This window comes from Homo sapiens, chromosome 15 (assembly GCF_000001405.40).
Source record: "Homo sapiens chromosome 15, GRCh38.p14 Primary Assembly".
Lineage (NCBI taxonomy): Eukaryota > Metazoa > Chordata > Mammalia > Primates > Hominidae > Homo > Homo sapiens.
This window is the reverse complement of record NC_000015.10, coordinates 41,403,605-41,423,146: the sequence shown is the minus strand read 5'-3', so window position 1 is coordinate 41,423,146 and position 19,542 is coordinate 41,403,605. Positions and strand designations below refer to the sequence as shown.

General features: G+C 47.1%; 1 protein-coding gene across 1 annotated transcript in view, besides 2 other annotated features; it reads right to left on the bottom strand.

The window, feature by feature from the left end:
* Positions 1 to 6,052, bottom strand: part of RTF1 (RTF1 homolog, Paf1/RNA polymerase II complex component) — a 66,469-nt gene extending 60,417 nt beyond the window's left edge. Inside the window, exon 1 of the mRNA NM_015138.5 lies at positions 5,834 to 6,052. Within this exon, the coding sequence (NP_055953.3) occupies positions 5,834 to 6,031 (198 nt within the window). The 5' untranslated portion in view covers positions 6,032 to 6,052. The remainder of the gene's footprint in view (positions 1 to 5,833) is intronic.
* Positions 5,573 to 6,162: a silencer, noted in NCBI's record as "silent region_6357". NCBI's record gives its function as "represses an Ori minimal core promoter by ATAC-STARR-seq in GM12878 lymphoblastoid cells {active_cell/tissue: GM12878}" and the evidence as "EXISTENCE:reporter gene assay evidence [ECO:0000049][PMID:35858748]".
* Positions 6,223 to 6,322: an enhancer, noted in NCBI's record as "active region_9280". NCBI's record gives its function as "activates an Ori minimal core promoter by ATAC-STARR-seq in GM12878 lymphoblastoid cells {active_cell/tissue: GM12878}" and the evidence as "EXISTENCE:reporter gene assay evidence [ECO:0000049][PMID:35858748]".

Below are 19,542 nucleotides of genomic sequence, written 5' to 3'. Positions count from 1 at the left end.
GAAGTATACTTTATAATAATAATATTCTTTACATGTAGTATCTAAAAACAGCTCCTAGAAAATACTTACAGGGCTGGCCGGGCACGGTGGTTCACGCCTGTAATCCCAACACTTTGGGAGGCCGAGGAGGGTGGATCACGAGGTCAGGAGTTCAAGACCAGCCTGGCCAAGATGGTGAAACCCCGTCTCTACTAAAAATACAAAAATTAGCTGGACGTGGTGGCGTGCGCCTGTAATCCAAGCTACTCGGAAGGCTGAGGCAGAGAATTGTTTGAACCCGGGAGGCGGAGGCTGCAGGAGCCAAGATCGCGCCACTGCACTCCAGCCTGGGTGACAGAGCGAGACTCCGTCTCAAAAAAAAGAAAAAAGAAAATACTTAGGGGGGCCTATTCTCTCAAAGACAAATTTAATTATTGCTACTTCAAGTTAGATAAACAGAGAAAAACAGGACATGACAATATAATCTCCATTTTAAATAAGAAACCTATAAAATAAAGCATCCCAGTGTGCACATAGCTCAATTTTTAGTTTTTTAGAAAGGTAGAGTAAAATTTTTATAAATACGGAGTTGTACTGATTTGAATTGAGAACTCTGGTTCCTTTATTATCTTGAATGCTTTTCATTTTATAGGACTTACTGCATAAATATTATTCCATAAAGGGAGATGACATAGAGCCCAGAGGTTTGCCTCAAATTATTATTTCCCAATAGGCACCAACAGCAAGTATCTTGAAATTTAAAAATGTTGAAGAAAGGGTGTGGTCAAAATAAGGACAGAGTCACTATCAGGTCAAATGCTAAAAGAAAAGCTTTCAAACTCTCAAACTAGGTCTTAGTTTTAAAAACTTTCAAAGGTTAAAATAAGGCCAGGTGCTGGATCACCTGAGGCCAGGAGTTAGAGACCAGTCTGGCCAACATAGCGTCTCTACTGAAAATACAAAAAATTAGCCAGGTGTGGTGGCAGGCGCCTGTAATCTCAGCTACCCAGGAGGCTGAGGCAGGAGAATTGCTTGAACCCAGGAGGTGGAAGGTGCAGTGAGTCGAGATCGTGCTATTGTACTCCAGTCTGGGCGATAGAGTGAGACTCCATCTCAAAAATAAATAAATAAACAAACAAACAAATAAATAAATAAGGCCTGGTGTGGCAGCTCACACCTGTAATTCCAGCACTTTGGGAGGCCAAAGCCTGAGAATCACCCAAGCCCAGGAGTTTCAGACTAGCCTAGGCAATGTAGTGGGACCCCCATCTCTACAAATGATTTTAAAAATTAGCTGGGTGTGGTGGTGCACACCTGTAGTCCCAGCTACTTGAGAGGCTGAGGGGGAAGGATCACTGAGCTAGGGAGGTCAACGCTACAGCCGTGAGCTGTAATTGTGCCACTGCACTCCAGCCTGGGTGACAGGAGTGAAACCCTGCCTAAAAAAAAAAAAAAAAAGAACCAGTAGTTTTGCCATCTTAAAACCTCCCTGTCAAGTTCTTTTAGTTATACAAGTGCCTTTTTTTTTTTTTTCTTTGGGACAGGGTCTCACTCTGTTACCTGGGCTGAAGAGAAACGGTGGGACCACAAGTAACTGCAACTTCAACCTCCCAGGCTCAAGCAATCCTCCCACCCCAGACTCCCAAGTAGCTGAGACTAGAGGCACGCCACCATGCCCAGCTAATTTTTAAATTCTTTTTTTTTTTTTTTTAATACAGAGTTTCACTCTTGTTTCCCAGGCTGGAGTGCAATGGCACGATCTCGGCTCACCACAGCCTCCACCTCCTGGGTTCAAGTGATTCTCCTGCCTCAGCCTTCTGAGTAACTGGGATTACAGGCAAGCACCACCATGCCTGGCTAATTTTGTATTTTTAGTAGAGACGAGGTTTCTCCATGTTGGTCAGGCTGGTCTCAAACTCCCAACCTCAGGTGATCCGCCCACCTCGGCCTCCCAAAGTGCTGGGATTACAGGTATGAGCCACTGCACCTGGCCAATTTTTAAAGTCTTTGTACAGATGAGGTCTCACTTTGTTGCCTACGCTGATCTCAAACACCTGGGCTCAAGTGTTCCTCCCACTTTGGCCTCCCAAAGTGCTGAGATTACAGGGCATGAGCCACCATGCCCAGCCTATACATGTACGCTTAATTTGGAAGTACTATGGCAGACACAGGAAGCTATTTCTCTTCTAAATACTTATAGTGTGTTACTAAAAAGATTAACCTGCATATAGGCAGTGATCTTAATCACTAACATAAATCATAATTACTTGAGCTATACCTGTTACAAATGCAGAGTCCAGACCTCTATCCCCTGAGAGTCTGATTCAGTAGGTCTAGGATGGGAACTGCTGCACCCTCTAAGTCCCAACCTACATTTTAAATAAGCAACCCAGGTGGCTTCTGACACAGAGGTCTGCCCCTACCACCAGGAAAAACCAGCCTAGAAGGCCCATATATCTCACCTTCAGTAAGGAATAAATTGGAGGTAAAATTTTTGACATAATGGCTCAGATTCCCATCTGAAAAACCCAGGGACAAAAGGCCTCCTTACGAACTGCATTCCAATCCACACTAGATACTCAGTGATCTGTCATGGTTTGTTCCTTCCACAAGTACCATACGCTAGACAGCAAGTCTAATGTTATACCCCCAGTGAAGACTCAGAACCAGATGGAGCAGCACAAGGTATTTGGGGCAGGAAAGATCCAGAATGCATTAGGATTCCTAAAGACCCCCAAGCAGCACTGACAGTGAACTTGTGCTAAAGGTCTTTCGTGAAAATGTCTAGAGGGCAGAGATCTTCCTCTTTGATTATTCTGAGAGTCTGGCATAGTGCTGAACAGACAAACTGAAGGCATCAATACCCCTGTTAGGATGTGCAGGGAAAGGGAATTTTGATCTAGTTCCCATCTGATAACAAGAATGCAAATAAGAAGCTGAAGGGGAGGAAGTTAAATTTGTTGTTAAAATGTATTAGGTATTACACATTTTATGTTAATTTCCTTTTACAAATAGATATTTAGAATTGGATTTAAAATTGCAATTCCGGCCAAGCACGGTGGCTCATGCCTGTAATCCCAGCACTTTGGGAGGCCGAGGTGGGCATATCACTTGAGGTCAGGAGTTCGAAACCAGCCTGGCCAACATGGAGAAACCCTGTCTCCACTAAAAATACAAAAAATTAGCCAGGTGTGGTGACAGGCACCTGTAGTCCCAGCTACACGGGAGGCTGAAGCAGGAGAATCGCTTGAACCCAGTGGGCGGAGGTTGCAGTGAGTTGAGATTGTGCCACTGAACTCCAGCCCAGGCAACAGAACAAGACTCCGTCTCAAAAATAAATAAATAAATAAAGTGGCAATTCTCTGCAGTTCCCACTTTGAAAAAGCTTTTTGTGGATCAGGTGAAATATCTCTACCACGAAAAGAAGCACTCAACTTATTTTATTCATCAGAATTCTGTGGGAAACTACTAAGGACAATAATTTGCAGTTCAGTTCATTCATCACTTGAACAGATGTCTTGAGAGTGCTTTACCAAGAAATCCCCCCAAATAATCCTTTTAATGTATGTACCAATTTCCTCTAAACTATCCAGTGTACTTTATAAACACGAACTCTAGCACCATGAAAAATGACTGTGAAACATTATCATTTTGCAGTATGAAAAAAATTTAAAACTAACAGATTGAGTTGGTATAGTGGAAACAGTATAGGCTTTGTACTCATGCAGATCTGGGTTCAAATCCCAATGCTACCACTTACTAGTTGTGAGTTATTTAACTTTTTCAACCTCCATTTTCTTTATGTAAAGTAGAGGAAATAATTCCAAATTTACCATAATGTGAAAACTTGAAAATCTAAACAAAACAATTAAAGTGCCTACTCTAGGCACTATATAAATGGTAGCCAATGTTGTTATTGTCTGAAACATTCACATTTGTAGATGAAAAGACAGAAAAAAATAGATTCTACTCCTTCTAATTGCCAGTCTAAAATTATCTACCAATCAAACTTTTACAGTCGAAATTATACTTTTGATATTTTTGTAAACTTCAGGAGCCTTTCAATGAGAACATTTTCAATTCCTACCCCAAAACAAAGTTTCTATTCCTTAGATAGTCTTACACAGGCCCCATTACTTCTCCATCTCCCTACCACCATTTTCAAAGCAGTCTTCTTTCTACAGCACCTCCTCAATCCTTTTCTTCTTAAAAGTCCTCCCCTTGGCGGAGCTTGCAGTGAAGCCAAGATCGCACCACTGCACTCCAGCCTGGGCGACAGTGCGAGACTCCGTCTCAAAAAAAAATAAATAAATAAATAAAAAGTCCTCCCCTTTTATGCCTTAATACTTTCTTTTTCTTTCTTTTCTTTTTTTTTTTTTTTTTGTGATGGAGTTTCGCTCTTGTTGCCCAGGCTCACTGCAACCTCCGCCTCCCGGGTTCAAGAATTCTCCTGCCTCAGCCTCCCGAGTAGCTGGGATTACAGGCATGTGCCACCACGCCCCGCTAATTTTGTATTTTTAGTAGAGATGGGGTTTCTCCATGTTGGTCAGGCTGGTCTCGAACTCCCGACCTCAGATGAGCCTTGGCCTCCCAAAGTGCTGGGACTACAGGCGTGAGCCACCGCGCCCAGCCCCTAATACTTTCAAACTGAGACCTCTGGCTTCATATAAAAGACCCCCAAGAAGCCATTCATAGAAAAACTTTACAATTAGCAAATGCTTGCACTGCCATCAATTTTTACAAACACTTGATCTTTACAATAAACCAATTAGATACACAAGGCTGATGTTACATTTTCATTTTACATTTAAGACCAAAGATATATAGCTAGAAAATAGCATAAGCCCAGCCTAGAATTCAAATTTTCAGACTCCAAGTTCAATACTCTTTCTACTCAAAAGCTACTATCTCTTGCATATTCTTTCTTTACATCATTTGCTCATTAAACAGAAAGGAGACCATCTTTGTATCGCCTGGTATCACTAGAGCACTGCTACAAAGAGCAGATTCCTCCCTACAATGTTTTCTAGAGTATATAAACAGTTCAACCCCAAGACACTGAGGCCAAAAGTTACTTTCAGTGCTTCCTGCAGTCTTCAAGTAAGAAAGAATTCTGGGATGCTGCGTGAAAGGGCCAAGAGGAGGCCTGGGCTATGCACAGTCCCTCCATGTCGCCCTACATAGTTCTCTATTTCTTCCAGTATCTGCCCTCTTTCCTCCACCCAAGAGTGTTTTTTTGGGTCTGACACCTCAACAAGGGCCCTTCTCAAACACAAACGACCCTAGTCGCCAAATAAACTCGTGCCCACAGCTAAGTCATCCTTGGCAAGCATGGCAGAGGCTCCTAGGAACATTTACGAGTGTCCTTCCTCTGTCCACATCCCTTGTCCGAAAAACTTCCATCTTCCAGAGTCCGGATCTTCTTGGCCCTCGCCCCCAACTGCTCGACGCGCACCCTTGCACCTCCTCCAAAACCTCCCAGCCTCCCAGGTTGGCGGGCGATACTTCCTATCTCTCCCAGCCCGGATCTCCTGGACTACAGCCCGCCGCCCCGATCTGGCCCCGGAAGATCGCGGCCCCTTTCGCTACCCCCGAGCCCGAGGCCCAACGGCCCGGTCCCTGCCCCGCCTCCCCGCCCAAGGCGCCAAGTCCTCGGGGCTCCGTCTCCAGGCCCGGGCCGGTCTCCAAGGCCCCGCACACTCCAGGAAGACGGGAAAGGGGCTGTAGTGGTGCCCAGGGCACGGGGCGAGCTGGGCGCTCTGGTAGGAAGGCTCCAGGCCCGGCCGTCTCCGGCTCCCGCGGCCCCGACAGCCCTCTGGCTCCGCCGGCCCGCGCCTCCGCGGCCTGCCCTCACCTGATCCAGGTTCTCGTCGCTGCCGCTGTCCTCTGTGTCCGAGTCGATCACGACGCGGCCTTTCCGCTTCTTTACCATGGTGGTCCCCCGGCTCCCACGCCGGCCGCCGCCCGGACTCCCCTCTTGCCCGCCTGCCAGTGGGACCGCCACTGCCGCCGCCGCCGCCGCTGCTCGACCCACACAAAGGCGACCGCGCATGCGCGCTCCGCTCCGCCCCCCTGGCCCCGCCCCCTGCTCGCCGCACGCCGTTCGCAGGTCGCCGGGTGCCCCGCCCTGCCCCGCCCCCGACGCAGCGTGAGAGGCGGGGCCTTCCCCCGTCGCTGGTTCCCGGCAGAGAGTGGTGGTGGCTTTACCCGCGACTGCCCTGGAGTCCTTGGCTGTATCTCTGCTGCGGAGCCGAAGTTTGGTGGGCTCTCTTCCTATCGGGGGCTGGAGCCGCAAGGATCCAGGTTCTCTCTGAGGGGGCTCACGTGTCTACCTACTTTCAAGCTGTCCAACACTGATGGCGTGTACTTAAGGGGCCGACGGCCTGGAAGACATAAGTCGCCTGGACCACGCGGTGGACACCGGTTGGGGGCTGGAGACTGCCGACCCGGGCTGTGCGAATGACAGCTGAGCTGGGACCTGGAGAATGCATCTGAATTACCCAAAAGGAGAGTAGAGTGTTGCATGCAGAGAACAGCGTAGGCAAAATGGCCCGGCGATAATAAAGTTAGGTTCGGAGAACTGAAGTTAGTTATGGCCAGAGCAGAGATTGTGGGTGGGGATAGGCGACAGACCAGGCTGGAGAAGGACACGGCGACTGCCTCACTCAGATCCTAATAAGTAAGCTGAATTAGGGAGTTTGAACTTGAGTATTGAAAGATTTTAAACTGAAGAACCACATGATTTGATTTGTGTGTGGTTTTGTGTTTTAGTAGAGACGGGGCCTCCCTATATTGCCCAGGCTGGTCTCGAACCCCTGGGCCCAAGGGATCCTCCTGCCTTGGCCTCCCAAAGTGCTGGGATTACAGGCGTGAGCTACCGTGCCCAGCCTGATTTGTGGTGGTGTTTTTTTGTTTGTTTGTTTGTTTGTTCGTTTGTTTTGGAGACGGAGTCGCTCTTGTTGCCCGGCCTGGAGTGCAGTGGCAGCTCACTGCAACTCCGCTTCCCAGGTTCAAGCGATTCTCCTGCCTCAGCCTCCTGAGTAGCTGGGATTACAGGCTCCTGCCACCACGCCCGGCTAATTTTTTTTTTTTTTTTTTTTTTGAGACGGAGTTTCGTTCTTGTCGCCCAGGCTGGAGTGCAATGGCGCGATCTTGGCTCACTGCAACTTCTGCCGCCTGGGTTCAAGCGATTCTCCAGCCTCAACCTCCGGAATAGATGGCATTACAGACGCCCTTCACCACGCCCTGCTAATTTTTGTATTTTCAGTAGAGATGGGGTTTCAGCATGTTGGCCAGGCTGGTCTCAAACTCCTGGCCTCCGGTGATCCGCCCGCCTCAGCCTCCCAAAGTGCTGGGATTATAGGCATGAGCCACTGCACCCAGGCCTGATTTGTGTTTTTCAAAGATTACTCTGACCGCAGTATGGCGAATGGACTAAGGGCAGGGAGATCGCTTGGATTGTTGTTGTCTTCTTGGCAAGAGATGATGGTGTCCTGACCTAAGGACGAAGCTGTGGGAATGGAAAGAAGTGGATGGACTCTGGATAATTTGGAACGTAGAATCCCCAGGATTTGGGATAGGGGTAAGGGAAGGAGTGCTCCCAGATACCTATTGATGTTCAGATTCTAGCTTAGGAAGCTAGTGGCAGGTGAGCCCTTCATCAAAAAAATGAAATACAAGAGGAGAGAAGAAGGTTTTGGGAACTGGTGTGTATAGGAAATAAGTTTTTATACTTAAGTTTGAGGTCAGCTGATAAAAAGGTCAGCTCCAGAAGTTATTTCCTTTAGTGATTAGGAATATAAAGTAGGGGCCGGGCGTGGTGGCTCACACATGTAATCCCAGCACTTTGGGAAGCTGAAGAGGGCCGATCACCTGAGGGCAGGAGTTCAAGACCTGCCTGGCCAACATGGCAAAACCCCATCTCTACTAAAAATACAAAAATTAGGCCGGGCACAGTGGCTCACGCCTGTAATCCCAACTTTGGGAGGCTGAGGCAGGGGGATCACAAGGTCAGGAAATCGAGACCAGCCTGACCAACATGGTAAAACCCTGTCTCTACTAAAAATACAAAAATTAGCCGGGCATAGTGGCGTGTTCCTGTAATCCCAGCTACTTGGGAGGCTGAGGCAGGAGAATCACTTGAACCTGAAGGCGGAGGCTGCAGTGAGACGAAATCGTACCACTGCACTCCAGCCTGGCAACAGACGTGACTCTTTCTCAAAAATAATAATAATAATAATAATAATAATCTGGACCGGGTGCAGTGGCTCTTTCCTGTAACCCCAGCACTTTGGGAGGCTGAGGCAGGTGGATCACGAGGTCAGGAGCTCAAGACCAACTTGGCCAAGACAGTGAAACCCCGTTTCTACTAAAAATACAAAAATTAGTCAGACGTGGTGGTGGGCGCATGTATTCCCAGCTACTTGGGAGGCTGAGGCAGAGAATTGCTTGAACCTGGGAGGTGGAGGTTGCAGTGAGCTGAGATCGCGCCACTGCACTCCAGCCTGGGCAACAATAGCGAGCCTGTTCTCAAAAAAAAAAAAAGGAAAAAAGAAAATAATCGCACCACTGCACTTCAGCCTGGGTGACAAAGTGAGACCCTGTCTCAAAAAAATAAATAAATAAAACAACCTAAATAAAGTCCAACTACCTCTTTACCCTAGAAGAGTTTTCCTAAGATACAGCTCATAGACTTTTCTCCCCCGACATATCCTTGGAACCATGGCCAAGGTGACCCCGAATCACCAGCCCAGCTTCCGTATGTCTAGCCACCCTGAAGCCTGTGGTGCCCTTCTGGAGGACCCTCTTTAAATGTGTTAATACACAGTACTGCTAAAAAGGAAGCCATGACATGGTCAGTGGCCCTTGACTGGAATTAATAAAAGTATGTTCTTTGAGTGAAATCTGTAGATTTTGATCTTTCTGCAAGGGGTCTTCTAATGATTCACGTACTGAAGTTAGTCCGTATTGAGTCTAATCAATGTCTAAATTTAGTGAATAAACGTTGCTTTAAACTCCCTCTTGAGTCAGCTTCCCAGAGAACCCAACCAGTCAAAGTTTCCAATTAGTAAAATGAGGATAATGATAGTGTCTGTCTCTTTGGGTTCTTATAAGGTTTAAGTTTACAAAGCAGGCATGGAGGCACAGGTCTATGGTCCCAGTTACTTGGGAGGCTAAGGTAGGAGGATCGGTTGAGCCCAGGAGGTGGAATCCATCCTTGGCAACTTAGAGAAACCACGTCTCAAAAAAAATAGTAAGTTAGGCCAAGCCGAGTGTGGTGGCTCACGCCTGTAATCCCAGCACTTTGGGAGGCCGAGGCAGGCGGATTACCTGAGGTCAGGAGTTCAAGACCAGCCTGGCCGACATGGTGAAATCCCATCTCTACTAAAAATACAAAAAAAAAAAAATTAGCTGTGCATTGTGGCAGGCGCATGTAATCCCAGCTACCTGGGAGGCTGAGGCAGGAGAATCACTTGAACCCAGGAGGCGGAGTTGGAGTGAGCTGAGATCGCGCCATTGCACTCCAGCCTGGGCAACAAGAGTGAAATTCCATCTCAAAATTTAAAAAAATAATGATAATAATAAGTTAGGCCAGGCGGGGTGGCTCATGCCTGTAATCCTAGCACTTTGGGAGACCAAGGAGGGTGGATCACTTGAGGTCAGGAGTTCGAGACCAGCCTGGCTGATATGGTGAAACCCCGTCTCTACTAAAAATACAAAAATTCGCTGGGCGTGGTGGCACCCACCTGTAGTCCCAGCTACTCGGGAGGCTGAGGCAGGAGAATTGCTTGCACCTGGAAGGCGGAGGTTGCAGTGAGCTGAGATCACATCACTGCACTCCAGCCTGGGCAACAGAGCGAGACCTCATCTCAAAAAAAAAAAAAAAAAAATACTGTCCATTATCTAATCTTGGAATTTTTTTTTTTTTTTTGAAACAGAGTCTTGCACTGTCACCCAGGCTGGAGTGCAGTGGTATGATCATGGCTCACTGCAGCCTTAGACTCCTGGGCTCAAGCAATCCTCCCACCTCAGCCTGCCAAGTAGCTGGGACTAGAGGCATGTGCCAACACACCCTGCTAATTTTTTTATTTTTATTTTTTGTAGGGACAAGATCTCACTATGTTGCCCAAGCTGGTCTCCAATTCCTATCCTCAAGTGATCCTCCTGCCTCAGTTTCTTAAAAGTGTTGAGATTATAGCATGAGCCACCATATCCGGCCCAATCTTACAACTTGGTCCTCTTGATCAGGCACCCTCAGAATCCAGTCGTTTGCTACTCTCCCAGCTCCTGCCACCACCTGCTTGGCTAGTTCTTGCAGCTCTTTTGGCGTATAGTCCTTTTCCTCCTTTATTAGGCCCAATATGTCCCCCACTGGGTTATGTGGTGACTTAACCCTATATAAGTCTAGTGGCCAGGAGAGGGGTAAGAGCAGATTCTGAGGGGAAGGAGAAATCCTTCAGTCCTGCCAGGGACAAGCCTCTGCAGTGTCTAAAAGGAGGAGAGGAGGCTGGATGGAAGATCATTTCTGCAGGTTCAGAGGGTTCGGGAGTACCTGGGATTTCAAATTCTTTAGGGGTATTAACCAGATATCCCCATCCCATTTGTCATGGTCCCATTATTTCTCAACTAGGGCCTGGCCTTTGGCTTAGGCACACTGCCTTGCTTGGGAGTTTAAGCTTATTGGAGCTCCGGCTACTCTGATGATTATCCTCAGGCTCAGCTTTCCTTGACCTCTTACTGTAGGTATTGAAAGTCTCTTTATTTATTGTATTTATTTTTATTTATTTATTTATTTTTTATTTTTTATTTTTTGAGGCAGTTTTGCTCTTGTTGCCCAGGCTGGAGTGCAATGGCACGATCTCGGCTCACCACAACCTCTGCCTCCCAGGTTCAAGAAATTCTCCTGCCTCGGCCTCCCGAGTAGCTGGGATGACAGGCATGTGCCACTACACCCCGCTAATTTTGTATTTTTAGTAGAGATGGGATTTCTCCATGTTGGTCAGGCTGGTCTTAAACTCCTGACCTCAGGTGATCCACCCGCCTCAGCCTCCCAAAGTGCTGGGATTACAGGCGTGAGCCACCATGCCTGGCCAATTGTATTTATTTTTATTTTTTAAAGACAGGGTCTTGCTCTGTCCCCCAGACTGGAGTACAATGGCACCGTCATGGCTCACTGCAGCCTCAACCTCCTAGGCTCAAGCAGTCCTCCCACCTCAGCCTCCCGAGTAGCTGAGACTACAGCGCACCACCACACTCAGCTAATTTTTGTATTTTTTTTGCAGAGACAGGGTCTCCCTGTGTTGCCCAGGCTGGTCTCGAACTCGTGGCTCAAGCAGTCCTCCCACCTCAACATCCCAAAGTGTTTGGATTACAGACGTGAGCCCCTGTGCCTGGATTTAAATAATGTACTTTTTTTTTTTTTTAAATAATGTACTATTATGGTTTTTGTTTTGTTTTGTTTGAAACAGAGTCTTGTTCCATTGCCCGGGCTGGAATACAGTGACAGGATCATGGCTCACAGAGCAGCTGGGACAACAGGCACTCCACCATGCCCGGCTAATTTTTAAATATTTCTGTAGAGACAAGGTCTCACCATGGTGCCTACATTGGTCTTGAGCTCCTGGGCTTAAGTGATCCTCTTGCCTTGGAATTCCAAAGTGCTGGGATTAAAGACATGAGCCAACATGCCCAGCCAAATTTATTTTTTAGAATACAAAATAAGAAATCCAAATCCAGAAGTATATAAAATAAAAAGGAGGTCCTCACCCTCATCCCTCTTCTCTCCCAATCTCATTCTCCAGGAAAAACTCCTATGACTAGTTTAGTATGTATTGTTCCAGACCTCTTAGGGAATACATGTAAACACACCCCAAAACAGGATCATGCAACATGTGTTATCCTATAATGTGGTTTCTCCCTGCAGCGTTAGACTGGTTTGAGTGCCACGCCAAGGTGGCACCAGGGAGTGTCAGAAAATGCTTTGTATATCCATGAGGTAATGTCTACCACCAGAGGCCTGAGTTCCATGACTAAAATACACATGGTGAGTATATATTAAATGGGAATCCTTGGCTTCTTTGTATTTAATTGTTTCCTCCTGGTAAGTGAGAACTAATTTTTTTTTCCTATGCAAGTGTCCATCATCTCAAAGTTTTGTTTTGTTTTGAGACTGAGTCTCACTCTGTCACTCAGGCTGCAATGCAGTGGCACAATCACAGCTCACTGCAGCCTCAACCTCCCAGGCCCCAGCGATCTCCCAACTCAGCCTCCCAAGTAGCTGGGACCAGAGAAATGCACCACCACACCTGGCTAATTTTTCTTTATTTTTGTAGAGATGAGGTCTCCATATGTTGCCCAGGCTGATCCCAAACTCCTGAGCTTAAGTGATCCTCCCACCTTGGCCTCCCAAAGTGTTGGGCAGGCATGAACCACTGTGCTGAGCTGGGAACTAATTTTAAGATGCTGTAAGGTCAGCCCTCTCTCTGGCCTCTCTCAGGATAGCTCTGTAGTTCATAACCTTTTGTTCCTACCTCAGCACATGTAACAGAGGCTGTCTTTTATTGGATATACACATATCCTGAAGTGTACACTGTACTCAAAAACAGCTTTCAGAAAAGCATATCACAATACCAAGGAGTGAAAGGGATGTTACCATAGGAACAATCTTATATCTTTAAAGTTATTTGTATTTTTGTGTTAATTAATTTGTATTATTATTATATTTTTAGAAATGGGGTTCTGCTCTGTCACCCAGGCTAGATTTGAACTCCTGGGCTCAAGCTATCCTCCTACCTCAGCTAAAATTATTATTATTATTATTTATTTATTTATTTTTGAGAAGGAGTCTTGCTCTGTCGCCCAGGCTGGAATGCAGTGGCGCAATCTCCGCTCACTGCAAGCTCTGCCCCGCTGGGTTCACGCCACTCTCCTGCCTCAGCCTCCCGAGTAGCTGGGACTACAGGCACCCACCACCATGCCCGGCTAATTTTTTTGTATTTTTAGTAGAGACAGGGTTTCACCGTGTTGGCCAGGATGGTCTCAATCTCTTGACCTCGTGAACCACCTGCCTTGGTCTCCCAAAGTGCTGGGATTACAGGGGTGAGCCACCGCGCCCGGCCAGAATCTGCATTTTTAACAGATGCCTAGAGTGATTTCCTTGTAAGTTATGAGAGGGACTCATTTTGAAAAACACTGGACACAGAGAGAGAAGCCTAAAAATCATGTAAAGAGTTCAGGATCAGAGATTCTTTTCTGTCTCTACATTTCCTGAAAAAGTCTGCATGCATGTGATAACAAGGTATTTCAAAAGCCTAAGCTAGGGTGACCTCAGAGAATGACTTGGCAAGATGCAAAATGCAGAAGAAAGTAGCCTTCTATAAATCAGTGATAAATTCCTCTATCAATATAGAGGAGTTTTCAGAAGGTCCCAAATCATTGATCTACTCAATTTACAAATATTTATTAAGCGCCTACTTTGTTGCAGGCATGGATGAGCATTCCCTTCTGTCTAAAGCTCCTTCTATGTCCTATGTTTTGTTACTTCTGTTTCTCAGAAGCATCACTCTATTGATTATTGTTATTGCTCTTATTTTCTGTGCCTTCAGTCTCTCTCAGCTGGCTCCTTTTTTTTTTTTTTTTTTTTTTTTTGAGACAGAGTCTCACTCTGTTGCCCAGGCTGGAGTGCAGTGGCAGGATCCCAGCTCACTGCAACCTTCGCCTCCCAGGTTCAAGCGATTCTCCTGCCTCAGCCTCCTGAGTAGCTGGGATTACAGGTGCCCTGGCTCCTTTTTAACATATCTCTTTCATATAAAAAGAAAAAATGTGGGCCGGGCAAGGTGGTTTATGCCTGTAATCCCAGCACTTTGGGAGGCCAAGGCAGGCGGATCACCTGAGGTCGGGAGTTCGAGACCAGCCTGACCAACATGGAGAAACCCCGTCTCTAATAAAAATACAAAATTAACCGGGCGTGGTGGTGCATGCCTGTAATCCCAGCTACTCAGAGGCTGAGGCAGGAGAATCGTTTGAACCCGGGAGGCAGAGGTTGCGGTGAGCTGAGATTGTGCCATTGCACTCCAGCCTGGGCGACAAAAGCGAAACTCCATCTCAAAAAAAAATAAAATAAAATAAAAATAAAAAAAAGTAAAAATGTCAGTCGGGCGCGGTGGCTCACACCTGTAATCCCAGCACTTTGGGAGACCGGGCGGGTGGATCACAAGGTCAAGAGATCGAGACCATCCTGACCAACATGGTGCAACCCCGTCTCTACTAAAACTACAAAAATTAGCCAGGCATGGTGGCACGTGCCTGTAATCCCAGCTGCTCAAGAGGCTGAGGCAGGAGAATCACTTGAACCTGGGAGGCGGCGGTTGCAGTGAGCGGAAATCACACCACTGCACTCCAGCCTGGGTGACAGCGAGACTCCGTCTCAAGAAAAATAAAATATATATTTAAAAAAAAATAAGCCTCTTGCATGCTGACTTCATGTTCTGTTTTCTTCCTCCACAGCCGTATCAGTTAGGATGCCTTTGGCTACAAGTAACAGAAAACTCAACACAAGCTAGTTTAAACAACATAATCTTGGCTCACGTGACTGAAAAGTCCAGAAGCAGGTCTGGCCTCAGGGAATGCCTGATTCAGCAGCACAGATGGTGTCAGAAGTCTGGCTTCTTTCTGTTCTTGGCTCTGCCTTAATCCTTGGTGTCCCAACTCACCCACAGGCAGGCAGCTCTAGGTTCTGTCCACATGGTTACAAAATAGCTCTCACTACATTACCCAGAGGAAGACAGAGGTCTCTTCCAGTAGCCTCCAAGGAAGAAGGAAGAAGCTGCTTGTTCCCAGAGGTCACTGGCCCTCCCTGGCACTACCTGAGTTAATTGTCAACTTCTGAGCCAATCCCTGGGGCCGGAGAGGTGAGATATGCTGATTGGATAAAACCAGTTAGTACAACCCTTAAGGATGGATTTAGAGTCAATCCCACCCAAATCAAGCGATTCTCCTGCCTCAGCCTCCCAAGTAGCTGGGATTACACACATGCGCCCCCATGCCCGGCTAATTTTTGTATTAGTAGAAATGGGGTTTCTCCATGTTGGTCAGGCTGGTGTCGGACTCCTGACCTCCGGTGATTCATCTGCCTTGGCCTCCCAAAGTGCTGGGATTACAGGCATGATCCACTGCGTCAGGCCCATGGTAAGTCTTAAGAGACATGGTATGGTAAGTGCATGGCCCTGGGCTTGACTCTATGTTGCTTTTAGACAGTAGAAATCGGGCTGGGTGCAATGGCTCATGCCTGTAATCCCAGCATTTTGGGAGGCCGAGGTGGGCGGATCATGAGGTCAAGAGATGGAGACCATCCTGGCCGACATGGTGAAACCCCGTCTCTACTAAAAATACAAAAATTAGCTGGGCGTGGTGGCATGCCCCTGTACTCCCAGTTAATCGGGAGGCAGGAGAATCACTTGAACCCGGGAGGCAGAGGTTGCAGTGAGCTGAGATTGCACCACTGCACTCCAGCCTGGCAACAAAGTGAGACTCTGTCTGGAAAAAAAAAAAAAAAGACAGTAGAAATCATCACTATTCTGACAAGCGGAAGTCTTCCATTTCTGTGGGCACATGGTCTGTTTCATAACTCCCTGCCTTTGCATATACATGTTCCCTCACCTGGAGTGCCCGTCTCCCTCTCATCTGTCTGTTAAATGCCTTATCCTTCAATGCTCAGTTCATGTTCTTCCTCTAGGAACTACTCCCTAACTTGGATGAGCAGACATGATACAATGTAGTGAATAATGAGCATGTATCCTGGATTTAGCAGACAGACGTGGTTTGAATCCCAGCTCTGCTACTTCAACAGCTGTGATAAGCATGTGACTAGCATGTTACTTAACATCTGTTTTCTTACCTGGGAAATAGGTGTAATATGAGTACCTACTTCACAGAATTGTTCTGACAATGAAAAGAGAAAATGCCTGAGAAGTGTTAAACTCAATGTCTAGCCTAGAAGCACTCATTACACCCTTCTTTGGGCCAGTCTTGTACCTAATACCTCCCTCTGCTATAGTTTCTAACTGTGCTGCAGTTATTTGTTTGATGACATGCCCTCTATTGGACTGTGTACCTGTTGAACACTGTCCTATAGTTCAGCAATAATAGCTAGCTTTTTTGTACATTTACCAAATAATTCCAATAATTATGCAAATATTTTACATATATTATTTGATTTAATACTGATTGGAAATGACATTAGGATCCTGCTTAACACAAACTCAGCAGCTTAAAAAAAAATTAAAGAAAAAGCTCTCCTGGCTGGGCACGGTGGCTCACGCCTGTAATCCCAGCACTTTGGGAGGCCGGGGCGGGTGGATCACGAGGACAGGAGATCGAGACCATCCTGGCTAACATGGTGAAACCCTGTCTCTACCAAAAAAAAAAAATCAGCTGGGTGTGGTGGCATGCACCTGTAGTCTCAGCTACTTAGGAGGGCAAGACAGGAGAATCGCTTGAACCCGGGAGGTGGAGGTTGCAGTGAGCTGAGATCACGCCACTGCACTCCAGCTTGGGCATCAGAGTGAGATTCGGTCTCAAACAAACAAACAAAAAAATACCCTCCTGGCCAGGCGCAGTGACTCATGCCTGTAATACCAGCACTTTGGGAGGCCAAGGTGGGTGGATCACTTGAAGTCAGGTGTTGGAGACCAGCCTGGCCAACATGGCGAAACCCTGTCTCTACTAAAACAACAAAACTTAGCTGGGCGTGGTGGCGCACCCCTGTAGTCCCAGCTACTCAGGAGGCTGAGGCAGGAGAATCGCTTGAACCTGGGAGGCAGAGGTTGCAGTGAGCCAAGATTGGGCTGCTGCACCTTGGCCTGGGTGACAGAGCAAGACTCCGTCTCCAAACAACAAAAACAGGCCGGGCGCGGTGGCTCACGCTTGTGATCCCAGCACTTTGGGAGGCTGAGGCGGGTGGATCACCTGAGGTCAGGAGTTGCAGACTAGCCTGACCAATATTATGAAACCTCGTCTCTACTAAAAATACAAAAATTAGGCAGGCATGGTGGCATGCACCTATAATCCCAGCTACTCGGGAGGCTCAGACAGGAGATTCGCTTGAACCCGAGAGGTGGAGGTTGCAGTGAACTGAGATTGCGCCATTGCACTCCAGCCTAGACAACACGAGGAAAACTCCATCTCAAAACAAGCAAACACACAAACAAAAAATGATCCTGCTACCTTCTAAGGTTGGCCAGGGCTGAACAACACTTCTGCCTCTTTTGTCACTGCCTGCAATATAGGGGACTACAGGGCTTCACCCATTCATATTCGGATTCAGAACAGCTTCAATGTCCTCTGGTCCCAGGCTTCTGAATGATGCTCTTACTGTTCATTTCCTTTTAGGCAGGGGCTTCTCTTTGTAGTTGCCTGCTCTTAGTTTCCCTCACTTTGTTCCCTTTGTCATATTATCATTTATGGCATTTGTCAGCCTTATGTCCACAAATAGATAGATGGTCCCCTGTTGTCTCCATGTCTAATTTGGATGGGTTTCAGTTGTTGTTGTTGTTGTTGTTTTCTTTTTTGAGGCAGAGTTTCACTCTTGTCGCCCAGGCTGGAGTGCAATGGCAAGATCTCAGCTTACTGCAACCTCTGCCTCCCAGGTTCAAGCCATTCTCCTGCCTCAGCCTCCCGAGTAGCTGGGATTACGGGTGCTCGCCACCACCCCTGGCTAATTTTTGTATTTTTAGTAGAGACAGGGTTTTACCATGTTGGCCAGGCTGGTCTCGAACTCCTGATCTCAGGTGATTCACCCGACTAGGCCTCCCAAAGTGCTGGCATTACAGGTGTGAGCTACCCTGCCTGGCTGGGTTTCAGTTTTGTTGTGAACAAAGGTATAGTTAAGATTTGGTGGAGCCCACTACCACTGTCTGGGAGGCCAAGGAAGAAGGTGCTACAGACATGGTTGGGTTAACCTACATAATCATTTCCCCTCAGCTCTTTGCCTTTATTTCCTTCCTTTATTTCCTATATTTCCTTCCCCTAGTGACTCTACCTTTTCTTCTGCCTGGCATTGTCATGTCCTTCCTTTCTATTTGAATATTTTTTTCTTTCTTCCAGCCTTCCTTTCTCCACTGGTAATAAATACATATGGGGCTTCCTATACTTAAGCAAACAGCCTGGCACAGTGGCTCACGCCTGTAATCCCAGCACCTTGGATGGCCGAGGTGGGTGGATCAACTGAGGTCAGGAGTTGGAGACCAGCCTGGCCAACATGACGAAACCCTGACTCTGCTAAAAATACAATAATCAGCTGGGTGTGGTGGCATGCACCTCTAATCCCAGCTACTCAGGAGGCTGAGGCAGGAGAATCACTTGAACCCGGGAGGCGGGGGTTGCAGTGAGCCGAGATCACGCCACTGCACTCCAGCCTGGGTGAGGAAGACTGTGGTTCAAAAAAAAAAAAGCAGCAAACAACTAATGATTAGAGACATGCAAATCAAAACCAAAATGAGATACCACTTCACACTCATTAGGATGGCTACTATATTTTAAAAACCAAAAAAACAAGAAACGTGTCAGTGGGCTTGGAAAGAAGGTGTGAAAAGATCAAAGATCAAAAACAGCAAGAGAATGCAACAGGATTTAAAATCAGTAAGAGAAGATTTTAAGGAGAGGAGCCAAGGACAGTCAAGCATTTCCATCCTAGAAGGATGTGGCCATTTACAGAAATAGGGAGACAGGAGGAATTAGTAGGAGGAAAAATGACACATTTAGTTTTAGACATTTAGTTTTCTTTATTGCTCAAGGATATTTCCTAAAAAACAACAACAAAAAGACATTTCGATTTTTTCTTTTTCTGAGACGGAGTCTGGCTCTGTGGCCCAGGCTGGAGTGCAGTGGTGCGATCTCGGCTCACTGCAAGCTCCGTCTCCCGGGTTCACGCCATTCTCCTGCCTCAGTCTCCTGAGTAGCTGGGACTACAGGCGCCCGCCAGCACGCCCGGCCAATTTTTTTGTATTTTTAGTAGAGACGGGGTTTCACCGTGTTAGCCAGGATGGTCTCGATCTCCTGACCTTGTGATCCGCCCGCCTCGGCCTCCCAAAGTGCTGGGATTACAGGCGTGAACCACCGCGCCCGGCCGATAACTTATATTTGAAACTAGAAAAGAGGTAGAGGCAGGATGGGCCATGGAGAGACAGCCCGCATTAAAGGTTGTGGGAAGAGAATAGAAGAGTCAGTGATGGGGGCAGAAAGGTAAGGTTTGAGGGGGCAAGTGTAGAGTCTAGAGAAGCCAAGCCGAATTTGAGGAAGAGGAGGCGGCGCGGAAACTAGTGAAGGAGAAAACATGGAAAGGGCTAGTGTATTTAGTGAGCTCCTTCGGAACCTTAGAGAACAAAGGTGTTACGGAACTATATGCTCTCAAATTCACACTAAGCACTAAATTCCCGCCGCTATGGTACATTCTGGGGAAAGGAAAAACAGCGCAGTCTGGACCCAAGAAAGCTCACAGCGTGGCAAAGGAAGTGAGAAGTGAGTGAAAGATACAATGTTGATTCTGTCTTCCCTGGCAGTAAGAAA